The 21,618-nt window shown below is 51.3% G+C and overlaps 4 protein-coding genes, 1 long non-coding RNA gene and 1 pseudogene across 10 annotated transcripts in view, besides 2 other annotated features; 1 reads left to right on the forward strand and 5 right to left on the reverse strand.

Moving 5' to 3' along the window:
* The window catches only part of LOC105371082 (uncharacterized), a 146,190-nt gene that overhangs the window by 12,512 nt on the left and 112,060 nt on the right, over positions 1–21,618 (forward strand). The window lies entirely within an intron of this gene.
* Positions 3,914–4,414: an enhancer, noted in NCBI's record as "H3K4me1 hESC enhancer chr16:11359883-11360383 (GRCh37/hg19 assembly coordinates)". NCBI's record gives its function as "activates a minimal SCP1, AML or CMV promoter by ChIP-STARR-seq in primed H9 embryonic stem cells {active_cell/tissue: H9 hESC(primed)}" and the evidence as "EXISTENCE:reporter gene assay evidence [ECO:0000049][PMID:30033119]".
* On the reverse strand, positions 5,745–7,213 carry TNP2 (transition protein 2). The gene is made up of 2 exons (NM_005425.5): positions 6,751–7,213; positions 5,745–5,900 (listed from the first exon to the last, which is right to left on the reverse strand). The coding sequence occupies exons 1-2, from the start codon at positions 7,148–7,150 to the stop codon at positions 5,884–5,886; spliced, it is 417 nt and encodes a 138-aa protein (NP_005416.1). The 5' UTR covers positions 7,151–7,213; the 3' UTR covers positions 5,745–5,883.
* Positions 9,902–10,598: an enhancer, noted in NCBI's record as "H3K4me1 hESC enhancer chr16:11365871-11366567 (GRCh37/hg19 assembly coordinates)". NCBI's record gives its function as "activates a minimal SCP1, AML or CMV promoter by ChIP-STARR-seq in naive H9 embryonic stem cells {active_cell/tissue: H9 hESC(naive)}" and the evidence as "EXISTENCE:reporter gene assay evidence [ECO:0000049][PMID:30033119]".
* PRM3 (protamine 3) lies at positions 11,087–11,517 on the reverse strand. The gene has a single exon (NM_021247.3). The coding sequence runs from the start codon at positions 11,481–11,483 to the stop codon at positions 11,172–11,174; it is 312 nt and encodes a 103-aa protein (NP_067070.2). The 5' UTR covers positions 11,484–11,517; the 3' UTR covers positions 11,087–11,171.
* On the reverse strand, positions 12,001–12,124 carry LOC124900380 (uncharacterized; annotated as a pseudogene).
* On the reverse strand, positions 13,527–14,368 carry PRM2 (protamine 2). Of its 6 annotated transcripts, NR_104428.2 has the most exons (3): positions 13,988–14,368; positions 13,725–13,825; positions 13,527–13,639 (listed from the first exon to the last, which is right to left on the reverse strand). NR_104428.2 is itself a non-coding variant. In NM_001286357.2 (2 exons), the coding sequence occupies exons 1-2, from the start codon at positions 14,256–14,258 to the stop codon at positions 13,788–13,790; spliced, it is 234 nt and encodes a 77-aa protein (NP_001273286.1). In that variant the 5' UTR covers positions 14,259–14,368; the 3' UTR covers positions 13,527–13,787. The 6 variants fall into 6 exon arrangements, 5 of the variants coding, with proteins under 5 accessions (NP_001273286.1, NP_001273287.1, NP_002753.2 ...); NM_001286357.2 differs by having other exon boundaries at positions 13,527–13,794; positions 14,032–14,368; NM_001286358.2 differs by having other exon boundaries at positions 13,527–13,818.
* Positions 18,729–19,218, reverse strand: PRM1 (protamine 1). Its single transcript, NM_002761.3, has 2 exons — positions 19,015–19,218; positions 18,729–18,923 (listed from the first exon to the last, which is right to left on the reverse strand). Exons 1-2 carry the CDS (start codon positions 19,124–19,126, stop codon positions 18,880–18,882), a joined length of 156 nt encoding a protein of 51 aa, NP_002752.1. The 5' UTR covers positions 19,127–19,218; the 3' UTR covers positions 18,729–18,879.

Genomic DNA, 21,618 nt, shown 5'->3' on the forward strand with positions numbered 1-21,618 from the left:
GTCCCTCTGTGGGAGAGCGTTCTGGGTCACCTTGCCCAAACCAGCAAGCCCAGAGCAGGGGCTGATGTTATATCCACATGCCTTTACTGCCTCTCCAGATTCAACAGAGCTTCGCTGAGCACCCATTAGACACATTCACTGATGCTCATTCCTTTTTTATCCTCTTTTTCCTTCAATTTTCCTCCCTCTAGGTAACCCAGGCACCAGCTTGGTCTGTTCTTTGGGATCTTTTTTATTTTTATTTTTATTTTTTGATACTGGGTCTCCCTCTGTCACTCAGGCTGGGGTGCAGTGGCGTGAACACAGCTCACTGCAGCCTTGACACCCCCACCCCACCCCCACTGTGCTCAAGCAATCCTCCTGACTCAGCTTCCCATGTAGGTGGCACGCATTGCCATGCCCAGCTAATTTTTTCATTTTTAGGGAGACAGAGTCTCACTTTGTTTCCTAGGCTGGTCTCAAACTCCTGGCTTCAAGTGATCCTCCCGCGTGGGCCTCGCAAAGCGCTGAGATTATAGGCATAAGCCACTGCTCCCACCCTGGGATCTTTTTCTATGCATCTACATGCTTGTATTTTGACCCATAAAAATTATGTTCCTTGGCCAGGTGTGGTGGCTCATGCCTGTAATCCTAGCGCTTTGGGAGGTCGAGCTGGGAGGATCACTTGTGGTCAGTTCGAGGCTGTGGTGAGCTATGATTGTGCCACTGCACTCCAGCCGAGGTGACAGAGCAAGACCCCAATTATTTAAAAAAAAAAAATAGTATTCCTTTGTGTAGGACTTTTCCCTCTATCAATGTCATGTCTTTCTCCATCTTGCACTTTCCACCCAACAGATACTCTGGCAATCTGGCTAGATCACATATAGATCGACCCCATGCTCCTTAAGAACTGCATGATACTCCTCAGCGTATGTTCATTTAGCCGTCCCCGGTGGGTGGACACATAGGTTGTATTTTTGCTCTTGCAAACAGCGTGGCCTGCACCTCCCTGTACAGCCTCTTGGCACACATGTGATAAACCGTTCTTACCGTTTGAATGTTCATAGGTGCCACCCAGTCACCTGCCAGCGTGCTGTGCACATTTACCTTCTGGGCAAAAGCATTCAACAATGTTTCCCCATGCCTTCACCATTATCTTACTTTTTCCATTTTTGCCTATTTGATGATTTGGTAAGTGGTGGCTTCTCATTGTTGCTTTAATGCCTGCTTCTTCTTTCATTTATTCAACAAATACTTACTGCACTCCTAATATGTGCCAGGCACTGTGCTAAGTCCCGGAGATGCAGCAGTGAACAGCATGGCCTCCTCGGTTCTCTTTACAAAGTGTGAGACGCACCTGAGACTCAGAGAGATTAAGGAATAGTCCTGGGGTCACCCAGCGAGGGAATGGGAGAGCTGGGATTTGAAGCTGGGTCTGTGTGGCTGCAGGGTTTGAGATGTTTTTCCTTTCGAATCATAGCTCACATGGGCATCTCCACCAGGGTCTGCCCTCTCATCTGACCCACTCCATTCCCGACTCCTGCCCCAACCCAGGACCACTGCATTTCCCCTTGGTGATCCCTCAGGCCCACAGGAGTGACAGCCCTGCAGCTAACCCCACCACAGGACAGGCTGCACCTCATTGTTCCCCAGACCTCACCTCACCCCCTAGTAGCCCACTGAAATTAAATCTCTGAGTATCAAGACAGCTCATCTTCAGAACCCACGTACTCTCTTGCTGGCTGGATTTATTGTCTGTCTCTCTCCATTTCCTGAATTTGGGTCTCCAGCAGGCCTGTCCCCAACCTGCTGCCACCCACCCCAAGCCGAGTAAGTGAAAGCATGAATCTGTGGTTGGATTATTTTTTCCTGTCATCATTGTACGTCTGACTGTACAAGGGTGGCGTGTATTGTGAGTGCTTGCCTACATGTGTGTTTCCTGTGGGAAGGGTCAGGGGAGGTGACTGAGAGCCTTCATGCACATGTAGGGGTGTGTATGTGTACTTGGGGTCCACATGTGAATGTGGGTCTCTGTGTCTGAGTGGGTTTGAACAGCTGCTTCTTCATACGTGTGGCCAGGAGTTCGAGGCTGTGGTGAGCTATGATTGTATATATGACTATCCGTGTTTGTGCCACTTTTGTGTTGGTTGTGTTGGTGTTGCTTTCAGGGAAATGTGGAGTTAAAGGTAGGTCCATAAGCCACACGTGTGACCCAGTCCATTGGCTTATAATAAAAGATTTACCTTCAGTAATCATATCATAAAAGGACACTGCCCAGGAAGTAGGGAGGTCCTTTGGTGAGTGGGGCTCAAAGTCCCTGACTTTATGTCTAACCCTGTCTCCACTTCCTCTTTCAAAATATGTTCCCCAGAAGGGCCTCCCTAACTCTTTTGCACCGATGTGTCAGTGACTATCATGGCTTAATGTGGCCTTACATTTGGGAACCAGTAAGTTTTGGGCAAAACATGAATCTCTTATCTCAGACCTGCCTGCCAGGAGTCCTTGACCAAGTTGTTTCACCTCTGAGTCTCAGCTTCTTCATCTGTACAGTGGGACCAATAATGTCTCTTGTTGAGGAGCGTGGATTCCGTGGAAATATTTATGTCAAAACATCTGGCATCTAGTAGGTGCTCGATAAATGGAATTCCCGAGTATGCTTGGGTGCTTCCCCATACCCTCTCCTAATAGAAACAACCTGGAACATTTCCCTGCTGTGAGAGGAGGATAAAGGGACCCAAGGAAAGGAGACTGATGGTGACATTGAGTGGCATTGATCGGGTGGACCAGGCCCTCTCTTGGATGCTTGCAGGTGCATTATCTCAATGAACCTCCACTGGGACCCCTCCAGGCAGGCACCATTAGCCTCCCATTTTACAGAAAAGACCAGGATGCAGACAGGGGACATGACTTGCTCAAGGCCACACAGCTGAGATCTGAAAGAGGACCTTCCATGTCATGCCACTGCCTGGGATGGGCTCAGCAAAGCTTGGAGTCCTGCAAGGCCTTCCCCAAGACACCTGGGTCCATTTCCCTTCCCTGCAGACAGCCCATCACCACTCATTTCTACTCCTGCCCCACCTCCCTTCACCTGTTCACCCTGTTCCTTCAGCCCAAATGTCAAATGCAGCACAAAAGAAAACAAAGTGACCCTGTGTCTGGCGCTATGCTGGGCAGCTTATCACACACCAGGCTGCTGGGTACCCCGCCCCCCAGTATGTCAGAACGATGAGCCCATTAGACAGAGGGGGAGAGTGAGGCTCAGAGTGGTCTAGTCCCAGCCGCCGCAGCTAGGATAGTGAGAACTAGGGCAAACTTGAGTCTGACCCTAAAACCAAGGCTTGTGGGTATGAAGGTCAGAAGCCAATTTACCCAAGACCCTGACCATTCCCCAGTCCTTTTGTCTGGCAGCCGGCATTCCTTCACGAAAATCTGCCTGGTACTTTTTATGCCATGTTAACAGCAGAGGTTTACTGAGTGCCAAGCACTGAGCCCAGACACCATGTCACATGCATGACACACTGACCTCTCCCAACCTCCCAGCAAGGGTGCCCATTTTGCAAATGAGAGCAGGTTTCCTACTTGGAAGCAGGGTTCTGTCTGGTTCACCCTTATCTTCCCTCCTTGGCCTTAGCCCAAAGCCCACACAAGTGGGTGCTCAGTAAATGTTTGCGAAAGAGGAATGAGGAAGGCAGGACTCTGGGCATTATCTTGGGAGGAACCTCCAGCCCACCCGTTGTGGAAAATCACCCCGCTAGACCGGGCTGCCATTCTGCCAATTGCTGTACCCTGTCCCATCCCCTGCAGTCCAGTCTCCACACAGCAGCCAGCACCACTTTGAAAACACACACCAGGTGGCCGGGCGCAGTAGCTCACGCCTGTAATCCCAGCACTTTGGGAGGCCAAGGCAGGCGGATCACAAGGTCAGGAGATCGAGACCATCCTGGCTAACACGGTGAAACCCTGTCTCTACTAAAAATACAAAAAAGTTAGCTGGGCGTGGCGGTGTGCACCTGTAGTCCCAGCTACTCGGGAGGCTGAGGCAGGAGAATGGTGTGAAGCTGGGAGGCGGAGCTTGCAGTGAGACGAGATGGCGCCACTGCACTCCAGCCTGGGCGACAGAGCAAGACTCCATCTCAGAAAAAAAAAAAGAAAAAAGAAAACACACACCAGGCTTGGTGCAGTGGCTCACGCCTGTAATCCTAACACTCTGGGAGGCCGAGGTGGGAGGATTGCTTGCGCTCAGGAGTTTTTAAGACCAGCCTGGGCAACATAGTGAGACCCCATCTCTACAAAAAGTAAAAAAATAAGCCGGGCACAGTGGCTCACGCCTGTAATTCCAGCACTTTGGGAGGCCAAGGCGGGTGGATCACTTGAGGTCAGGAGTTTGAGACCAGCCTGACCAACATGGTGAAACCTCGTCTCTACTAAAAAAATACAAAAATTGGGGTGTGGTGGGAAAGGGGAGGGAGAGCATTAGGACAAATACCTAATGCATTCAGGGCGTAAAACCTAGATGACGGGTTGTTAGGTGCAGCAAACCACCATGGCACATATATACCTGTGTAACAAACCTGCATGTTCAGCACATGTATCCCAGAACTTAAAGTAAAATGAAATAAAAATAAAAAGCAGTGACAAAACTTGCCTGCACAGTGGGGGAAAAAAATTACAAAAATTAGCCAGGTGTGGCGGGCACCTGTAATCCCGGCTACTTGGGAGGCTGAGGCAGGAGAATTGGTTGAACCCAGGAGGCAGAGGTTGCAGTGAGCTGAGATGGCGCCACTGCCCTCCAGCCTGGGCGACAGAGCGAGAAGTCAAAAATAGCTAAGCATGGTGATGCATGTCATGCTACTCGGGAACCTGAGGCGGGAGGATGGCTTGAGCCTGGGAGATCAAGGCTACAGTGAGCCATGATTGCATCACTAAACGCCAGCCTGGGTGACAGAGTGAGATGGTCTCAGAGAAAAAAGCACACACCAGACTCTATCAACTCACCCAGTTGAGACCCTCCCCTGACTTCTCACACCAAGAATAATGTCCAAGCTCCTTCCTGCGGAGATTGGTACAACCCCGGCATGGTCTGGCCCCCACCTGGTGCCCCCAGCTCATGTCCCAGCACCTTCAGATTCTATGCCAGCTCCTCTGGAACACAGGTTCTAACCCAGGCTCATTCCCTCACGGGGACATGACATCACCCTGCTCCCTTGATACAGCTCATTCTGACAAGTCTTGTGTGTTTGGACTGTAAGTTCCATGAGGGCAGGGCCTTGTGTGTTCTCTAGTTCTGTTCCCAGAGCCCAGCACAGTCCCTGAACAGACTTTGGTCCCTTAGTAAAAGTTTGTTGAAATGGCTGCTTTGAGGAACGTTGAGGTTGGTACTATGTTACAGAATCAACAAGTGAGACTCAGAGGTTGGTCACAGTCCAGGGTCACACAGCGAGTACGAAAGATGAGCCAGGATTCAAACTCAGGATGCTCTGGATTGCAAAAGGCACATTCTGAACCCCTCTTCCTGTCTCCTGTCGTGTTCTTGGGCTACATACATGTGGATCACGTGAATAGGTTGTGGACATGTGTGCATCTTGTGTGTCCACATGTGTACACACCCATGTGGGAGCATACAGGGCAAAAGATTGTTATCCAAGCAGAGTGGACTCTGCAGGCTTCTTGGCATCCTACCCCCATTCATTTCTGCCCCTGTGCAGGCCCCCAAAACACATAACACCTTTATTAGTGAAATCAAAATGACTATGACTACTCAGGGATAGTCTTCCAGGTACAAGCTTTAATTAGTGTTGCGTAGAAATCACCATAGTAACATGTTCCTGCAAGAAGATTGACTTCATCCTAGCATTTTCTCCTTTGGGTGAAACACGCAGGAACAAGCCAAGGAGTGCGGTCTCATTAGTTGGATTTCCATCCTAAGGGATAAGAGTGGGAAAGGAACCTTTAATAGCTGAGCACTTCATGAAGTCAGTGACCTCCTTGACCTCCTGTAAGGTCTTACAACTACTCATTTGTGATTGAATATGGGACATAGATAGAGTTTAGACTACCGTCAGTGTCCTTTTGACCTATGTGAATCCAGGTATCCATCCATTTATCCCTTCCATTTGTCATCCACCCATTCATTAGTTCACTCATTCCATTCATTTATTCAACATTTCTTTCCCATTCTATCCCATTAGTCTAGATATCTATTCTTCTCTCTGTTTATTCAATTACTCTATATTACTCTATTAAGATAATATTTAACCAATCAAACCAACCCATCAAAACTTCTACAACTATTTAACTCTATTTCTAACCAATTCATCCACCAACCACAATCTTCAAACTGATCATCTACCTAACCAACCAAATAACTAGCCAGCCAGTGCATTCATCCATTTATCCATCCATCCAGCTAATCGTATCCAAACTTCCTATCATTCAGCCAATGCATTCTTCCAACTATCCTTTCTATAACCTATTTATTGTTTACCCACCCAGTCATCCACCCAACCTCTCAACTCCATTCATGCTTTCATCTAGCTTATCTGCTATCTGTCCATCTTTCCATCCTCCTAATCAACCCATCCAATTTCAAAGAGACTTTCCGTCAATGTATCATACATTCAGCTAGCCAACTGCCATTGTTTCTCTTCTCCCTCTTCCTTCTTGCCTGTGGTTCCTTTGTGACCTGGCTGCAGCCTTCCTCTCACTGCCCCCAAGGTCTGCTCTCCATCATCTGTGGGCTCGGTGGCCCTTCCCCACCTCCTTAAAGGGTACCTGAGCTCCGCGTCTTGGTTTTGTACACCTGCTGGATCCTCTTGGCCATTTTTTTCTTTTTCAGCTTGCCTTCCAAGTTCTTTCTGTTCTTGGGGCAGCGGCAGTGCAGGATGGTGGGCCGCATGGGAGAGTGGTGGGAGTTCATAGTCTTTTTGTGGCGCTTTGGTGGTGGACTAGTGTTGGGACTCTGGCTCTGGTGGCCGGATGAGCTGTGGGCTCCAGTTGGGTTGCGGTGGCTGGCCGGGCTCTGGCTGGAGCTCTGGCTCCGGCTGCCACGATGGCTCTGTCTGCAACTCTGGCTGAAGGTTTGGCAATGGCGGGTGCAGGTGCGGCTTTGGGGCTGAGAGTTGCTATGGAGCTGAGTGTGGGTGATAGGAAGGCTGTGAGTCTGGGTGTCCATAGGAGGCCACGTTTGGAGGGGCAGGGCCTCCTCCTCATCCTCTCCCAGCAGGCCTAGCTTTACAGAGGCCCTGGCAGCCCACCTGGTTATATAGTTGGGGCTGATTATGATGGCCCAGGCCACAGGGGTGTGAGAGATGTGGCTCAGCCAAGACAAAGCCCCCTACCCCTTACCCTCACCCCCAGGCTGGGGCAGCTCTCAGGGGTACCCTGGGGATAGTCCCAGCTACTGGTTCAGGGTAGGAGCCCTTGGGTCAGATTAAGCTGAGTCTGCATCCCAGATCTGCTTTTTCCACATGGTCAGCCCTGGGAATTCGCCTGAACAAGTCCCAGTTTCCCCATCTCTGCAGAATAGGGATAATAATTGTACTGACCTCATTCGGACATTAGAAGAATTATTAATAAAGGAGAGAATTTATATCAAGCAGTTAGCTCAGGCCCAGCCCACAATAAGAGCTCAGTAAACATCACTGACCAGCATCATCAGGTGTTTTTCTTAACGCCCTGGGCAACTTGGGTACCAGGAGTGCAGCCCTGACCCTGGTGATGGCAGCTGAATGGTGGGCAGTTGTTAAGACAGATGATTAGTGCCCAGATGATGGGGAGGTGATGAATTGGTCAGATGGCTTGGTGGATGGATGAAAGATGAGTAACCACATGGACCAAGGGGTGGTCCTGGGGCTCGCTTGGCAAGCCTACCTCCCCAGCCAGATCTAAAGTCGGGAAATTCAGAGCCGGGTTCAAATCCCAGTTTGCACTGATGTCCAGTCTTGGGTAGGCCATTGTGGTTTCTGAGGCTTAATTGCCGTATGTGACAAAGGGGTGTCTTTCCTTCTTTCCTGGTATTCTCGTGAGCCTGAGATGCCTGTCAAGCTACAGGAGGCCCTTGGAAACCCGTCTCTCTCCTTCAGTTTCTGCCTCTTGATTCTCCTCCCCTTCCTGCTAACGAAGCCTCGCCATACCGTTTGAATCACGCCGTCCCTGCTCAGATACCCCAGTACCTCTAGAAGAAAGCCCAGACTTATGTTTGAACACTAAGCCATTTGATCTTCTAGTCTTTGGGTTTCCATCCAGAGCCCTCCACCCCTCCCTGTCTTGGCCGATGCCTTTGGGCTTAGCCCTTGGCCCTGTACTTTCCCACTTCTCTCTGCATGGAACTTCCTCTGTCTCTGTCTGTCCTCCCCGAGCAGGCCTCCGGCCCAAGCCAACCTCTCACTCTGCCCATGTGCAACTTTGCCTCTTGCTATGAGGATTTGCAATCGTCTGCTTTTATGGAAGTTTTTTTCTTTTTCTTTTTCTTTTGAGAAAGGGTTTTGCTGTGTTGCCTAGGCTAGAGTGCAGTGGCACAATTACAGCTCACTGCAGCCTCCACCTCCTGGACTCAAACGATCCTCCCACCTCAGCCTCCCAAGTAGCTGTGACTACAGGTGCATGCCACCACACCTGTCTAATTTTTTTATTTTTATTTTTGTAGAGATGGGGTCTCACTTTGTTGCTTAGGTGGGTCTTGAACTCATGAGCTCAAGGTTTTCTCCTGCTTTGGCCTCCCAAAGTGCTGGCACTACAGGCATGAGCCAATATGCCCAGCCTTTGCAGTTTATTTCTTAATAAACATTTCAAATTTCTTACAGTGAGAACTGCTTTCATTTACTGAATGCTTTCTATGTGGCTGGGCTCTGGACCTTACCCTCTCCAGGCAGCTTTGCCCTCAAACCTCACAGTGACCCTTTGTAGTGGAATGAATGGCAACCCCCAAAAATCTATGTCCACGTTATAACTCCTAGAACTTGTCAATGTGATATTTGGAAAAGGGGTCTTTGCAGATGTAATTAAGCTAAGAATCTTGAGATAAGCATGTTGGCTTAGCTGGTGGGCCCTAAATCCAATGATAAATGTCTTTATGAGAGACAGAAGAGGTGTCACCCAGGGAGAAGAGGAAACCATGGGAAGATGGAGACGAGCTTGGAGTTGTATGAGCTAGAGGAGGCAAGGAAGGATTCTCTGCTAAGGCCTCCGGAGGGAGATCAGCCCAGCTGGCACCTCGACTTCAGACTTCTGGCCTCCAGAACTGCAGAGAATACATTTCTGTTGTTTTAGCCACCAAGTTTGTGGTCATTTGGTATGGCAGCCCCAAGAAACTTATGCACCCCATGAGGCAGATACTATGATTACATTTAGCAAAGAGGGAACAGGCTCAGAGAGGTGGAGTAACCAGCCCAGAGTCCCTTAGCCGATCACGGCAGAGCCAGTCATATTCAGGTCTGGCCTCCTCTCGAGGTCACTAAGGGATTCTCGGCGATTAGAGGGACAGCTGCAGCAGGGTTCTCAGGGCCCTGCCTTGGGTGGCCTCAGCAGGTCCGGTTGTGGGGTATATGCTAGACCAAGCCGTGAAGACTCTCTGGGTCTCTGGACCCCCCTTCCCATGGTCTCCTGCTCCTCCACTGCCAACGCCCCACTTTCCCATCCTGAAGCACATAGCCTGGAATGGAGATCGTGGCCTGCCATCAACCAGCCTCTCCTCCACACACCTTTCCAGTCCTCCCAGGGAGGGCTGACCTCTCCCAGCAGCGGGTGTGCGGCACGTCACGTACCTGCCCCCGCACCCATGACAGTGAACTCTCTCCCAGGACAGCGGGGACTATGTTTTATTACCAGGGCTCCTTGTGACTAGCACCATGTGGGGCATACAACAGGGACTCAGCTCATGTTTCCTGGGCAAATGAATGGGTGGGTGGACCTTTGGGCCTTGGACAAAAGGACAAGGCTGACCAACCGAGTCATTTGTGGGTCTGGGAGTAGTGGGATAACAGGGCCTCCCTTGCCCTAGGCCATTGCCGGGCAGAGCCGTGGCCTCCCCACAGGGTAGCCCAAGGCTCCTTCCTACGTCAAACATGGCCCCCAGAGAAACCGAGGCTTCCCTGAAAATTCCCCATCCCCCAGCCCCACTGCCACGGTACCAACTAGGATCCCCTCGGGAACAGGGGATCAGCTGATCCAGAGAATTAGCTCAAGGTGGCTGGTGCTTGGAGGACTGTGAGGGAATGTGGTGGAGATCGCATTTGTGGCTTCTTTGGGATGGAAGGAGTGAGGGAGGAGCCGGCAGTAGGGTGGGCAGCAGACGCACTCCGAAGCTCCTTGCGGAAGGCGCACCGAGCCCAGAGCGAGAGGATGGGGCCTAGGTTCTGTGTCTGTACCCAGTCGCCTCCCTGGGCCTCTTTTGCCTACTGCTCTCATGGGGTACTGTCTCCGCCCCCAGGGCTAGACCCCTTGAAGAAGGCGGGAGTGAGCTTCCAGGTAGGGGTGCAGGTGGTTGCCAGCAGCATAGACTGGCAGTGGAAGAGTCTGCAGCCAAGAAGGACCTAGAGGAACCACCATGACCCCAGCAACAATCCCTGTCCTAGCTCAGCACTGACTGGTGCCAGGCCTGGTCCCACCCATCACTTGAGCTAATTTTTCTGATCATCTGACCCATGAGTAGCTATTAGCTTCCCCTAAACGCTGGGAGGGGCAGCCTGAGGCTCAAAGACACGCAGTGACTTGCTCAAGGGCACGCAGCTACCAGAAAAGAAGTTTGAACCCAGGTCTGCTGAACTCCCAAGCCAGTGTTCTTAAAAGACGGTCCATAGTTGGGGCAGCACAGTGGGGACTGCGATGAAGGCAGTTACCCTGTCCCGCTGGATGCTCTCGGCTGGGGTGTGCTGGGACTCGCAGAGGAATTTCCCGTCCCAGAGATGGGAAGATTTGGCGGAGATGATTTCCCCCTCTCAAAGCCCCTCAACCTCTGGCTGGGGCTTGGGAACAAGGTCACCGAGCCTTGCTGTTCAGCCTTCCTTGGCAGCTGGCCTCCCTCCGTGTGCACCCACACACACACGCCTTCACACACGTGCACACGTGGGGCCAGAAGGGATAGGGTGAGGGGAACCAGAGACAGGGAGGATTCCTCAGAGACTTTTTATTGACTCTTCTCTGAACACTGTCGCCGGAGCAGCAGTGGGCGTCCCTTCCTGGGCCTTCGTTGCGGGTCAGGAGGGTGTCCGCTTGGGCTCGGGGCTCTGCTGGGCCTCGGCGTTGTCCTTGTGGCCCTCCTCCTGCCGCTCAGGCTCCAGCAGCAGCAGCTTGCCCTGCACCGGCAGCTCTTCTTTCTCCTCCTCTTCCCCCTCCTCCTCCTCTTCCTCCTCTTCCTCGCCCGCTGATGACAAGGAGAAGTTATCCTGACTCACACAGGCCATGAGCTTTTTCATGGAGGATTCGTGGCCCCGGCCATGGCCCGTGCTGTGGCCTGGGCTGTGGCCTGGGCTCTGGCCTGTGTTGAGCTTGGCACAGCGGGAACCCATGGTCTACGTTGCCTGTCTCTCTGGGCAAGGAGGTGAGGCGGTGGGTGAAGGGGCTGCGAGTGGGGGCAGGATGCTGACATCACAAAGGGAGCCCATCCCCACTTGGGAACCTGGGTCTGAGCCAACAGTTAACTCACACCTCAGCCACTGGCAGCTCCCAGCCCCCACAGGGGAGGTCTGCAAGGCTGAGCACTGGGGCCAGTTCGGATGCCACACCATAGTCCTCATTTGCCCTGGAGAAAGTTTCCCTTGTAGCTGGGATGGGAGTTAGGGATTGAATTTCTAGAAGCAGGAGGGGCACACACAGACTCCTCCCCACATCCCAGAAATCGCCAGCCAGAGAGAGCTGTCTCTGTTGAGTTTCTTGACTGTTAACCCTTGGAAATAAATCATCAAGCTGTGTGCTTAAAATGTATGCACTCTGTAAGCTCATAAAACTCAGGAACCCTTGGAAGTCTTCCTTCGGGGGCCTGAAAGTGTGAAATCTTCTTGAAAGGCAATGGCTCCTAAGCATTGTTTGTTTGTCCAAGGCATGGGAACAGGCCAGAAACCAAGCTGGGATGAACAAGGGGTTGCTTTGTCCCTGACTGATGCAAGATGGACACCACCAACCAGAGGCCACTCTACCCAGGTCAGGGTGGAGTGACATCCTCTTAAGTGTTTTGGGGCCACAGAGAAGACATCATGGAGCTGCCCCTTGGCAAGGTTCCACATCTGTGCAGCACAATTTCAGCATGGGGGGAGGGGGTTTAGGACTTTGTCTTTTATACATTGAAATGAGTCGTTTGTACACTGCAATGGTATTTTTTAAATATAAATTTTTTGAGGCCAGGCGTGGTGGCTCACACCTGTAATCCCAGCACTTTGGGAGGCGAGGCAGGCAGATCATCTGAGGTCAGAAGTTCGAGACCAGCCTGGCCAACATCGTGAAACCATGTCTTTACTAAAAATACCAAAAAAAAAAAAAAAAAAAAATTTGTTTAGCTCCTTCAGCTACTCAGGAGGTTAGGGAGGAGAATCAGTTGAACATAGGAGGTGCAGGTTGCAGTGAGCCAAGATCGCACCACTGCACACCGCCCCAGTGACAAGAGCGAAACTCCGTCTGTTTTTTTTTTTGTTGTTGTTGTTTTGTTTTCAGAAACTCGTTGCTTCCTAAAGATTGGTCATTTCTGAGCACCAGAAATCCATTTGCCAACATATGGATTGGATCTTGCCAGTCTTATCCCCCCAGTCCTCAGTGGCTATGGTTGGCTAAGGTTGGCACTCTCCGAAGTGCCCCCTTCCTGATCCTGGAATCTATGATGTAAGGATTGTGAGATGGGGAGGTTATCTTGGGTTGTCCAGAAAGTCCCTCAGTGCAATCACAAGGGTCCTTGATTTCAGACAGGAGGGAGGAGTGATGCAGCCACAGGCCGAGGAGAGCAGGCAACAAGGATCGGATTCTGCCTGGGTCTCCAGAGGCTTCAGCCAGCACAGGCCTCACACAGCGCAGCCCATTACTCTGCATTCATCTACTCCTTGCCTTTTGCCGTCTCTGTGCTGACCAAGTTGTTGCTGGAGCATGCCAGACCTGTTTCCCACCTCGAAGCTGTGGCCTGCACTGAGCAGTGCCCCCACCTCTGCCCCCACCGTTTACACTTCCAACCACCCAACACTCAAGATGGGTTGTGTTTTTAAACTGTGGCACACAGTAGGCATTTAAATATGGCCACAAGGTGCCTTGGCATCTTTGTGACTTAATTAGGACTCGATCTGTTCTAACCATTTTCTCCTTTCATGAGGTAGGATCAGGTTCTTCACTGGAGGGGGATCCAGACAGACTAATGTGGCCTTTGACACCATGGAAGGATGCACAATAGACAGGACAGCATCATAGGGTGGCCTCCCAGGCACAGTAACCCTCTCCTAGGTGTCCTGAGAGCATCAGAACTCCCGCCCTACCTGCCTCTGAGGAAGGGCTGCAGAGAAGCCTCTACCCGCCCTGGGCGTGAGGGAAGCCAGGTTTGTGTGATTCGTGCAAAGAAAACCCGACAGGCCAGCGAGTGTCTTGTCAAGCTTTATTGGGCAGGTGACTTTTGCTCGTTTCACTCAGATCTTGTGGGCTTCTCGGCGGCAACTCAGGGCTTGAGCATTTGATGTAGGGGAGTTGCTATGGCCTCACTCGGTGTTTCTTGGGCAGGTGACTTTCTCTTAACTTCCAGCTGGGGGCTTGAGCATTTGATGTAGGGGAATTGCTATGGCCTCACTTGGTGTTTCGGGCGACTTTTTCTTAATTTCCAGCTGGGGGTGAGGGGCCCAGGAAGCTTAGTGCCTTCTGCATGTTCTCTTCCTGGTTCTGCAGCCTTTTGGGAAAGAAAGTTCTGGTTGAGGGGGTCACCTAGGGACTCTGGGTGGGGACGGGGGTTAGGGGGCTGGAGCTTTTGTCAGGTGGGGTGGGTCCCCGCCTCCCTCCTGTGCCTGGGGTGGTCAGGGACATGCAGGGCAAGGCGGGGGCGCAGGCAGACCTCTGCGATGCCTCCTCCGGTGCCTGCAGGAGCGTCTTTTGCGCCTTCTGCAGGAGCGATGCTGCCGCCTGTGGATCCGGTGCAGCCTCCTTCGAGAGCAGTGTCTGCGCCTATAGTGAGACTGGCCATGGGTCCTCTCGTAGACCTCGACGTGCTCCGGGCTCAGCCCTTGCTCCTCTTGGCCGTGGTGTCCTTGCTCTTGCCCATGCAACTGCTGCCTGTACACCTCGTGCGAGCGTTCGCTCAGGCTCCTCACGCGGTATCGGACCATGGTGTTGGGAGATCTGGTGGCTCCTGGGCTGAGGCTGCAGTGGGCCCTGGAGTAGGGGAGGAGGGCGGAGGCCTGCCCACCTGCCCTTGGTGTTACTGTTGGTCTGGTCTGCAAGGCTCCCCGGGAGCTTGTATATAAAGGGGGCGCCCACTATGACTCTGCGGCCCCGCCCAGTCCCCACCCTGCCCAGCCTCCTCTGTGAGGGCAGCACAGGGCCAGGGGTCACAACTAGCAGGGCCCTGGCACCCAAGCTGCAGGGCTGGAAGGGCGAGAGACCCCCTTGCCTTGCCTGTAAAGCATGTCCTCTGTCTCTTGCAGTAGGTGAACCATACAGATGGCAGGTGTTTTATTGCCTAATCCAAGCCCTCATCTCCCCAAGCCGGTGGGTGCGCACATTGTCATTTGGAAGCTTCCTTGCCAACTCACTGCTGTGCCACAGCCACCATGTGGAAGGGACTTCCGTGCTTGGATCTCTGTGCACACAGCTTACTGTTAAGATGGCAACAGCAGCAAACAGTTCCCTAATAGCTCCTATGTGCCAAGCATTGATTCATTTATTTCCCATACATTCACTCATTCTCTCTCTCTCTCTCTCTCTCTCTCTCTCTCCTCTTTTTGTTTTGAGGCACTGTCTGTCGCCCAGGCTGGAGTGCAGTTGTGCAATCATGGATCATAGCAGCCTCTACCCCTCCAGCTCAGATGATCCTGCCACCTCAGCCTCCCGAGTAGCTGGGACTATAGGCGTGTGCTGCCACTCCCAGCTAATTTTTTGTATTTTTTGTGGAGATAGATAGGGTTTCACCATGTTGCCCTGGCTGGTCTCACACTCCTGGCCTCAGTGAGCCTCCCATGTCGGCCTCCCAGAGTGCTGGGATTACAGGTGTGAGCCACCACCCTTGCATTCCTCACTCTTACAATCCTCATTTTCTGTGGGGCAAACAGGCATGAAGAAGTTGAGTTGCTCAAGGCCACTCTGCTGAGAAGGCCAGGCCGGGCCAGCATTCAGACGGAGACAGCCTGGTTTTAGTCATACCCTTGGCTCTCCACCTCCTCCCTAGCCCAGGGAATGCTCCCCTCTCCGCCTCCAAAATATTCATCTTCTCCCCTCCCGCTCGGCCTTGCCGGGGCTTCTCATTGAACTTTGATGATCCCATTAAAGTCCGGGATCAGAATCACAGAAACTGCAAAACCAGTTTCCCTTTCATGGAGGGCAGGGAGAATGTGGGAATGTGGCAGATACACAAATTTAAGGACTTGAAGATGCAGAGATCATCCCAGATGATCTGGGTTGGCCCAGTGCAGTCACGAGGGTCCTTAGAAGAGAGAATAGGGAGGCAGGAGGGTCACAGGAAGAGAAACTGGGAGACACCACACTGCTGGCTTTGAAGATGGAGGGAGAGGCTATAAGCCAAGGGATGCAGGCGGCCTCTAGAAGCTGGGATGGACAAGGAAATGGGTTATCCTCCCCTCGTGCATCCAGGAGGAACACAGCCCTGCTGACCCCTTGATTTTAGCCCCATGAGACTTCTTTCAGAATTCTGACCTGCAGACCTGTAAGATAATGCATTTATGTTGTTTAAAGCTACAAAATTTGTGATGATCTGTCACAGTGGCAATAAGAAACAAATTCAGGAGGCTTAATCTTCAGATCCTTACAGGAGGTGATGGGTGATATTGCCATGCCCTTGGTGTTTCTATGCTGCCTCTCTTTAGGGATAAGAAGGTCCTTTATGATGGCCCTCAAGCTCTTCGAGGGCGCGTGTTAAAAATATGAATGCTGAGGCCTTACCCTACGTCCCGCTAAGTCAAATCTCCATGGCCAAAGCTTGCAGATGAAAATAAGAAGGGGCGGGGCAGGGCTCGGTGGCTCACACCTGTAATCGTAGCACTTTGGGAGGCTGAGGCGGGTGGATCACCTGAGGTCAGAAGTTCAAGACCAGCCTAGTCAACATGGTGAAACCCTGTCTCTACTAAATATACAAAAATTAGCCGGGAGTGGTGGCGGGCGCCTGTAATCCCAGCTACTCAGGAGGCTGAGGCAGGAGAATTGCTTGAACCCAGGAGGCAGAGGTTGCAGTGAGCTGAGATGGCACCATTGCGCTCCAGCCTCGGCAACAAGGGCGAAACTTCGTCTAAAAAAATAAAATAAAATAAAATAAACATAGGAAGGGGCTGGGTGTGGTGGCTCACACCTGTAATCCCAGCACTTTGAGAGGCCGAGGTGGGAAGATCACTTGAGCCCAGGAGTTTGAGACCACCCTGGGCAACATAGTGAGGGCTCTGTCTACAAAAAATAAAAAAAATAGCCTGGGTCCATGGTGGCATGTGCCTGTAGTTCCTGCTACTCAGGAGGCTGAGATGGGAGGATTGCTTGAGCACAGATCAAGGCTGCAGTGAGCCACGTTCACACCACTGCACTCCAGCCTGGGTGACAGAGCAAGACCCTTATCTCAAAAAAAAAAAAAAAAAAGGCACACCCAGGGGTCTGCCTGTCCAGCCAAGCTGCTATCATGATCCGAGTGTGTTATGGGGAGTCATTGCTAAAGTGATCAGGGTCATGGTAGTGCCAGGGCTAGCACTGAACTCTCATGTGCTCACTTGAAAGAACATGGTTGTTGATACCCACCGTAGGTGAGTGCAGTGGCTCATGCCTGTAATCACAGCACTCTGGGAGGCCAAGGCAGGAGAATCGCTTGAGCCCAGGAGTTTGAGACCAGCCTGGGCAACATAGTGAGACCTCGTCTCTACAAAAAAATTAGAAAAATTAGCCAGGCAAGGTGGTGCATGTCTGTGGTCCCAGCTACTCAGGAGTCCAGGAGGCTGAGGTAAGGAAATCACTTGAGCTCAGGAGATTGAGGCTGCAGTGAACTGTGTTTGCGCTACTGCACTCTATTCTAGCCTGGGTGACAGAAAGAGACCTTGTCTCAAAAAAAAAAAAAAAAGGAAGTGATGTATGCAGAATACCAGGCACACAGTTGGTGTCCCATAAACAGAAGTCATACTGTGACATTTCTGAGGTGCTTGGTGGGCCCTGTCACTTCAGGGAACTGGGTCTCAGAGCCTCTGGTCTCTGCCAAAATGCTCTGGGTTTGCTCTACCATCAGGAAATGACTGTGACCCAGGGCCTGTGTCAAGGAATCGGAGAGGTGGGCTTTCTTAGGCTGTGGGTGAGCCAAGGAGACCAGTGCCCAGCAGGACTTCTTATGTCCTTCCCCAGATCTCACTGGGGTCTTAAACTCTTGCCTTAGAAATTTTAGTATAGGTGGTATATCAAGCAGCTTGAGTGTGGACTTAGATCCGACCAGATGGACAAGTTAACCTTTGTTTCTTCGGTGGACATAACGTTGTGAAACCGTGCCCCAAAGAGTAAAGAAACCGGTGGTTAACAAAAATGTTTGAGTTTACAGGATGGCAGATAAGAGACTTCCTTAATGGTGCTTGATTAAATGTGAAAAGTTCAGCTCCACTGCTACCTGGACAAGTTATCTCTGTACCCAAATGGGGATGAAAACTTCTGGCACAGAGTGAGGAATAAGCAGTTTTGAATTTAATTTTCCTGATGGTGACTGGCTTAATCTATTTAAGTTATAACCTAAGAGTTCCTTTGTTGAAGAGTGGAAATTTCAGCTTTGGGCTGAAATAAACCCGGGTGGGCAGCTAGGGGACAGGTCAGATGGGATGAGCTGGTTCAATCTTGAGCTCCAGCTGGTAAATGTTTAACTGGCTTTGGGGTTCCTGGGATGGAGGGAACCCAGATTTGTAGCATTTGCTGATTTCTGTAAATACTCCATGGTCCATTTCAAGCTGCCAAGATGAGGTCACCAAGCAGAGTGGGGAAATGTACACAGTGGGTCCTCAAACTCGAGAGACCTGGATAGAGCACCCCACTGGGTAGGGATCTGTTAAGAGGGTTTAGGAGGCAGGTTCTGGTTGTGACTTGGGGAGACTGGTTCTTGTTGTATCTTAGGGAGGCAGGTTTGGGTTGTGACTTGTTGGTACTACTAAGAGTTTGGAACAATGGCCAGGTGCAGTGGCTCATGCCTGTAATCCCAGCACTTTGGGAGGCCGAGGCAGGTGAATCATGAGGTCAGGAGATCGAGACCATCCTGGCTAACACAGTGAAACCCCGTCTCTACTAAAAATACAAAAAATTAGCCAGGTGTGGTGGCGGGCACCTGTAGTCCCAGCTACTCGGGAGGCTGAGGCAGGAGAATGGAGTGAACCTGGGAGGCGGAGCTTGCAGTGAGCCAAGATCGCGCCACTGCACTCCATCCTGGGCGACGGAGCGAGACTCTGTCTCAAAAAAAAAAAAAAGTTTGGAACAAAACCCAGCGTGACAACTGTCTTTCATGTCCCCCCCACCGACATCTTTCTCCCGTTGCATGCCCAGGCCCTCTCCCCCTCTGCTCATCCCCGAGCCCTCCTCCCCACTGAGCCTCCCCTCTCAAGAACAAGGAGAGAAGAGTGGGATGACTTTTCAACATTTATTGACAGGCGGCATTGTTCCTTAGCAGGCTCCTGATTTTTATTGGATGGTGGCATTTTCAAGATGTGGCAAGAGGATCTTGAAGTCTGGTAACATTCTCAGGCAGGAGTTTGGTGGATGTGCTATTTTGTGCAATTAGTGTCTTCTACATCGCGGTCTGTACCTGGGGCGGCAGCACCCTGGTGAGACCAAGAAAAGTGGTGAGAGGAAGGCTGGGCCCTGAGAGCTCCCAGCCTCAGCCCCAGCCCACCCTCAGCTGGGCCCACTTACTCATGGCTCTCCTCCGTGTCTGGCAGCTCCGCCTCCTTCGTCTGCGACTTCTTTGTCTCTGGCGGTAATATCTGCTCCGGCTCTGGCTGCGACAGCATCTGTACCTGGCCATGGTGCAGGATGGGCTTGGCCTGAATGCTCAGAGCAGGGCACCACCTTGGCTGAGCCAGCCAACCTGTGAGCAGGTGGAACTCTGTGGGCTGTGAGTCAGGGGCCAGCTCTGCGGCCTGTTATAGATGCCAGGGGGCCGTTGGTCATTGTGAGGGCAAAGGGGCTGGGACCTCACAAACCATGGCCAGGTGGCCTGCATCATGTCCATATATGGGCATTTGAGAGGCGGGCAGGCCCCCGAGTGTAGGGGCTGCCTATGTCACAGCTGGGGCGATACAAGATGACTCCTCCGTGGGAGCAATCATCTAGTTATTCAATTAACAAAATATTACTGTTAATATTTTGGCCTGTTCCATGCCGGATTTTGGCCTAGGCCCTGGTATATAGTGATAAACAAGACAGACATGCCCTTGTTAAGAAGTATTATTATTATTATTTTATTTTTTTAATTACTTATGTATTTTGTTTATTTTTTTGAGACAGAGTCTCATTCTGTCACCCAGGCTGGAGTGCAGTAGCACAATCTTGGCTCACTGCAACCTCTGCCTCCTGGGTTCAAGCAAACCTCTGGCCGCAGCCTCCCGAGTAGTTGGGACTACAGACATGCACCACCACACTCAACTAATTTTTGTATTTTTAGTAGAGATGGGGTTTCGCCATGTTGGCCAGGCTTGGTCTCGAACTCCTGACCTCAAGTGATCTGCCCGTCTCAGCCTCCCAAAGTGCTGGAATTACAGGCATGAGCCACCGTGCCTGGCCATTATTATTATTTGTAGAGACGGGCTTTCCCTATGTTGCCCAGGCTGGTCTCAAACTCCTGACCTTGAGCAAATCTCCTGCCTCTGCCTCCCAAAGCACTGGGATTACAGATATGAGCCACCACACCCTGCCCCTAATAGACTTTATAATCTAACTACAGAAAGCATGAATGAAACAGCCCTGAAGAATAATTGTAATAGTGACAAATGCTGATAATGGAAACCTCGGGTTTCTGAGGATATGTGCTGGGAGAACTTGACCTCAGGTGAGGCTCTAGGGAGAGCCCCAAAGGGGTGCTGGCGAAGTGAACCCTAAATGGATGCTATAGTAAGAGGAGGGAGGAGCACCTGGGAAGAAAGAGCTGCTCCTGCAACTGTTCTGAGGCGGTGCAGGATGTGCAGTTCTGTTTCTATGCAGGGCCAGGCAGCAGGGGATCCGTGGAGACAGAAAGTGATCGGGGTGACCAGGGCGGGTGGAGCAGGGAGCAGCTGTGCCATGGGTGGGGGGCTTCCTTGTGGGCTGATGCTTTGGAACTTGATAGAGGCGGTGGTTACACAACATTGTAACTGTACTAAATGCCACTGAATTACACACTTTATTTATTTATTTAATTTTGAATGAACGAATGACAGGGTGTCGCTCTGTCGCTCAGGCTGGAGTGCAGCGGCGCAATCTTGGCTCACTGCAAACTCCGCCTCCTGCTTCAAGCGATTCTCCTGCCTCAGCCTCCCAAGTAGCTGGGATTACAGACGCCCGCCACCACACCTGGCCAATTTTTGTATTTTTAGTAGAGATGGGGTTTCACCTTGTTGGTCAGGCTGGTCTCGAACTCCTGACCTCAAGTGATCTGCCCGCCTCAGCCTCCCAAAGTGCTGGGATTACAGGCATGAGCCACCACACCTGGCCTTGAATTACACACTTTAAAATGATGTATTTTATGTTACCTGACTTTCAGCTCAATTGCAAACACGAAAAGCTGTGAGGCCAAAAGGTGCTAACAGGTGTGAGGGATTGGAGCAGAGCATGGTGCAGGGCACTGGTCATGGTGTGGTCTTTTCCACAGCCCCATGGATTTTAAGGGTAAAGAGGGGAGCAGTTAGAATTGGTTTGGCTACTTAAACAGAAAACCGAAATGAGTGAGTTGGGTGGAAGTTTTATGTTTTTCTTAAGGAGTCAGAGGTGATTTCGGGGGTCATTAGATTGTCCCTGTTTGGGGGATACACATGCTGGAGGATTTAGGGGTGATGACATATGTTTGCCAACTACTCTCAAGGATTTACCCATAGAGAAAGAGGGAGAAGAAGGGAGAGAGAGGAGACAGAGATGGGGGCGGGGAGCTGAACAGATGTGACAGAACGTTCACAACTGGCCATGCCAGGCGCGGTGGCTCACACCTGTAATCCAGCTCTTTGGAAAGATCGGCTGAGCCCAGGAGTTCGAGACCAGCCTCGGCAACATAGAGCCCATCTCTACAAAAATAAAAAAAAAATAAAAAAGATTTTTTTGAAAAAACAATTGGCCAATCTGTGTAAAGGGGAGGTGTTTGTCAGGGGTTCTTGCAAGTTTTCTGAAATTTTGAAATTATTTCAAAATAGATTATTAAATTTTTTTAAAAAGAACAAAAGAAAACCCAGGGAGGTCAGCCAGGGCTGGTGTGAGGCTCCATCCTTTTCAAGGGTCCAGGCTTTTGTCTTTTAGCTCTGCCTTCAGCAAGTGCTTTCCATCCACAAAGTT

Source organism: Homo sapiens, chromosome 16 (assembly GCF_000001405.40).
Source record: "Homo sapiens chromosome 16, GRCh38.p14 Primary Assembly".
Classification (NCBI taxonomy): domain Eukaryota; kingdom Metazoa; phylum Chordata; class Mammalia; order Primates; family Hominidae; genus Homo; species Homo sapiens.

Excerpts from the sequence above, each read along its gene's own strand:
- TNP2 (NM_005425.5), bottom strand. The coding sequence starts at position 7,150 with ATGGACACCCAGACTCACAGCCTTCCTATCACCCACACTCAGCTCCAT.
- PRM3 (NM_021247.3), bottom strand. The coding sequence starts at position 11,483 with ATGGGTTCCCGCTGTGCCAAGCTCAACACAGGCCAGAGCCCAGGCCAC.
- PRM2 (NM_001286356.2), bottom strand. The coding sequence starts at position 14,258 with ATGGTCCGATACCGCGTGAGGAGCCTGAGCGAACGCTCGCACGAGGTG. Across the intron at positions 13,870-13,987 it reads CCGGAGGAGGCATCGCAGAG|AGTCCCTAGGTGACCCCCTC; the intron begins GTCTGCCTGCGC and ends GTCCCCACCCAG.
- PRM1 (NM_002761.3), bottom strand. The coding sequence starts at position 19,126 with ATGGCCAGGTACAGATGCTGTCGCAGCCAGAGCCGGAGCAGATATTAC. Across the intron at positions 18,924-19,014 it reads GACACGGAGGAGAGCCATGA|GGTGCTGCCGCCCCAGGTAC; the intron begins GTAAGTGGGCCC and ends TGGTCTCACCAG.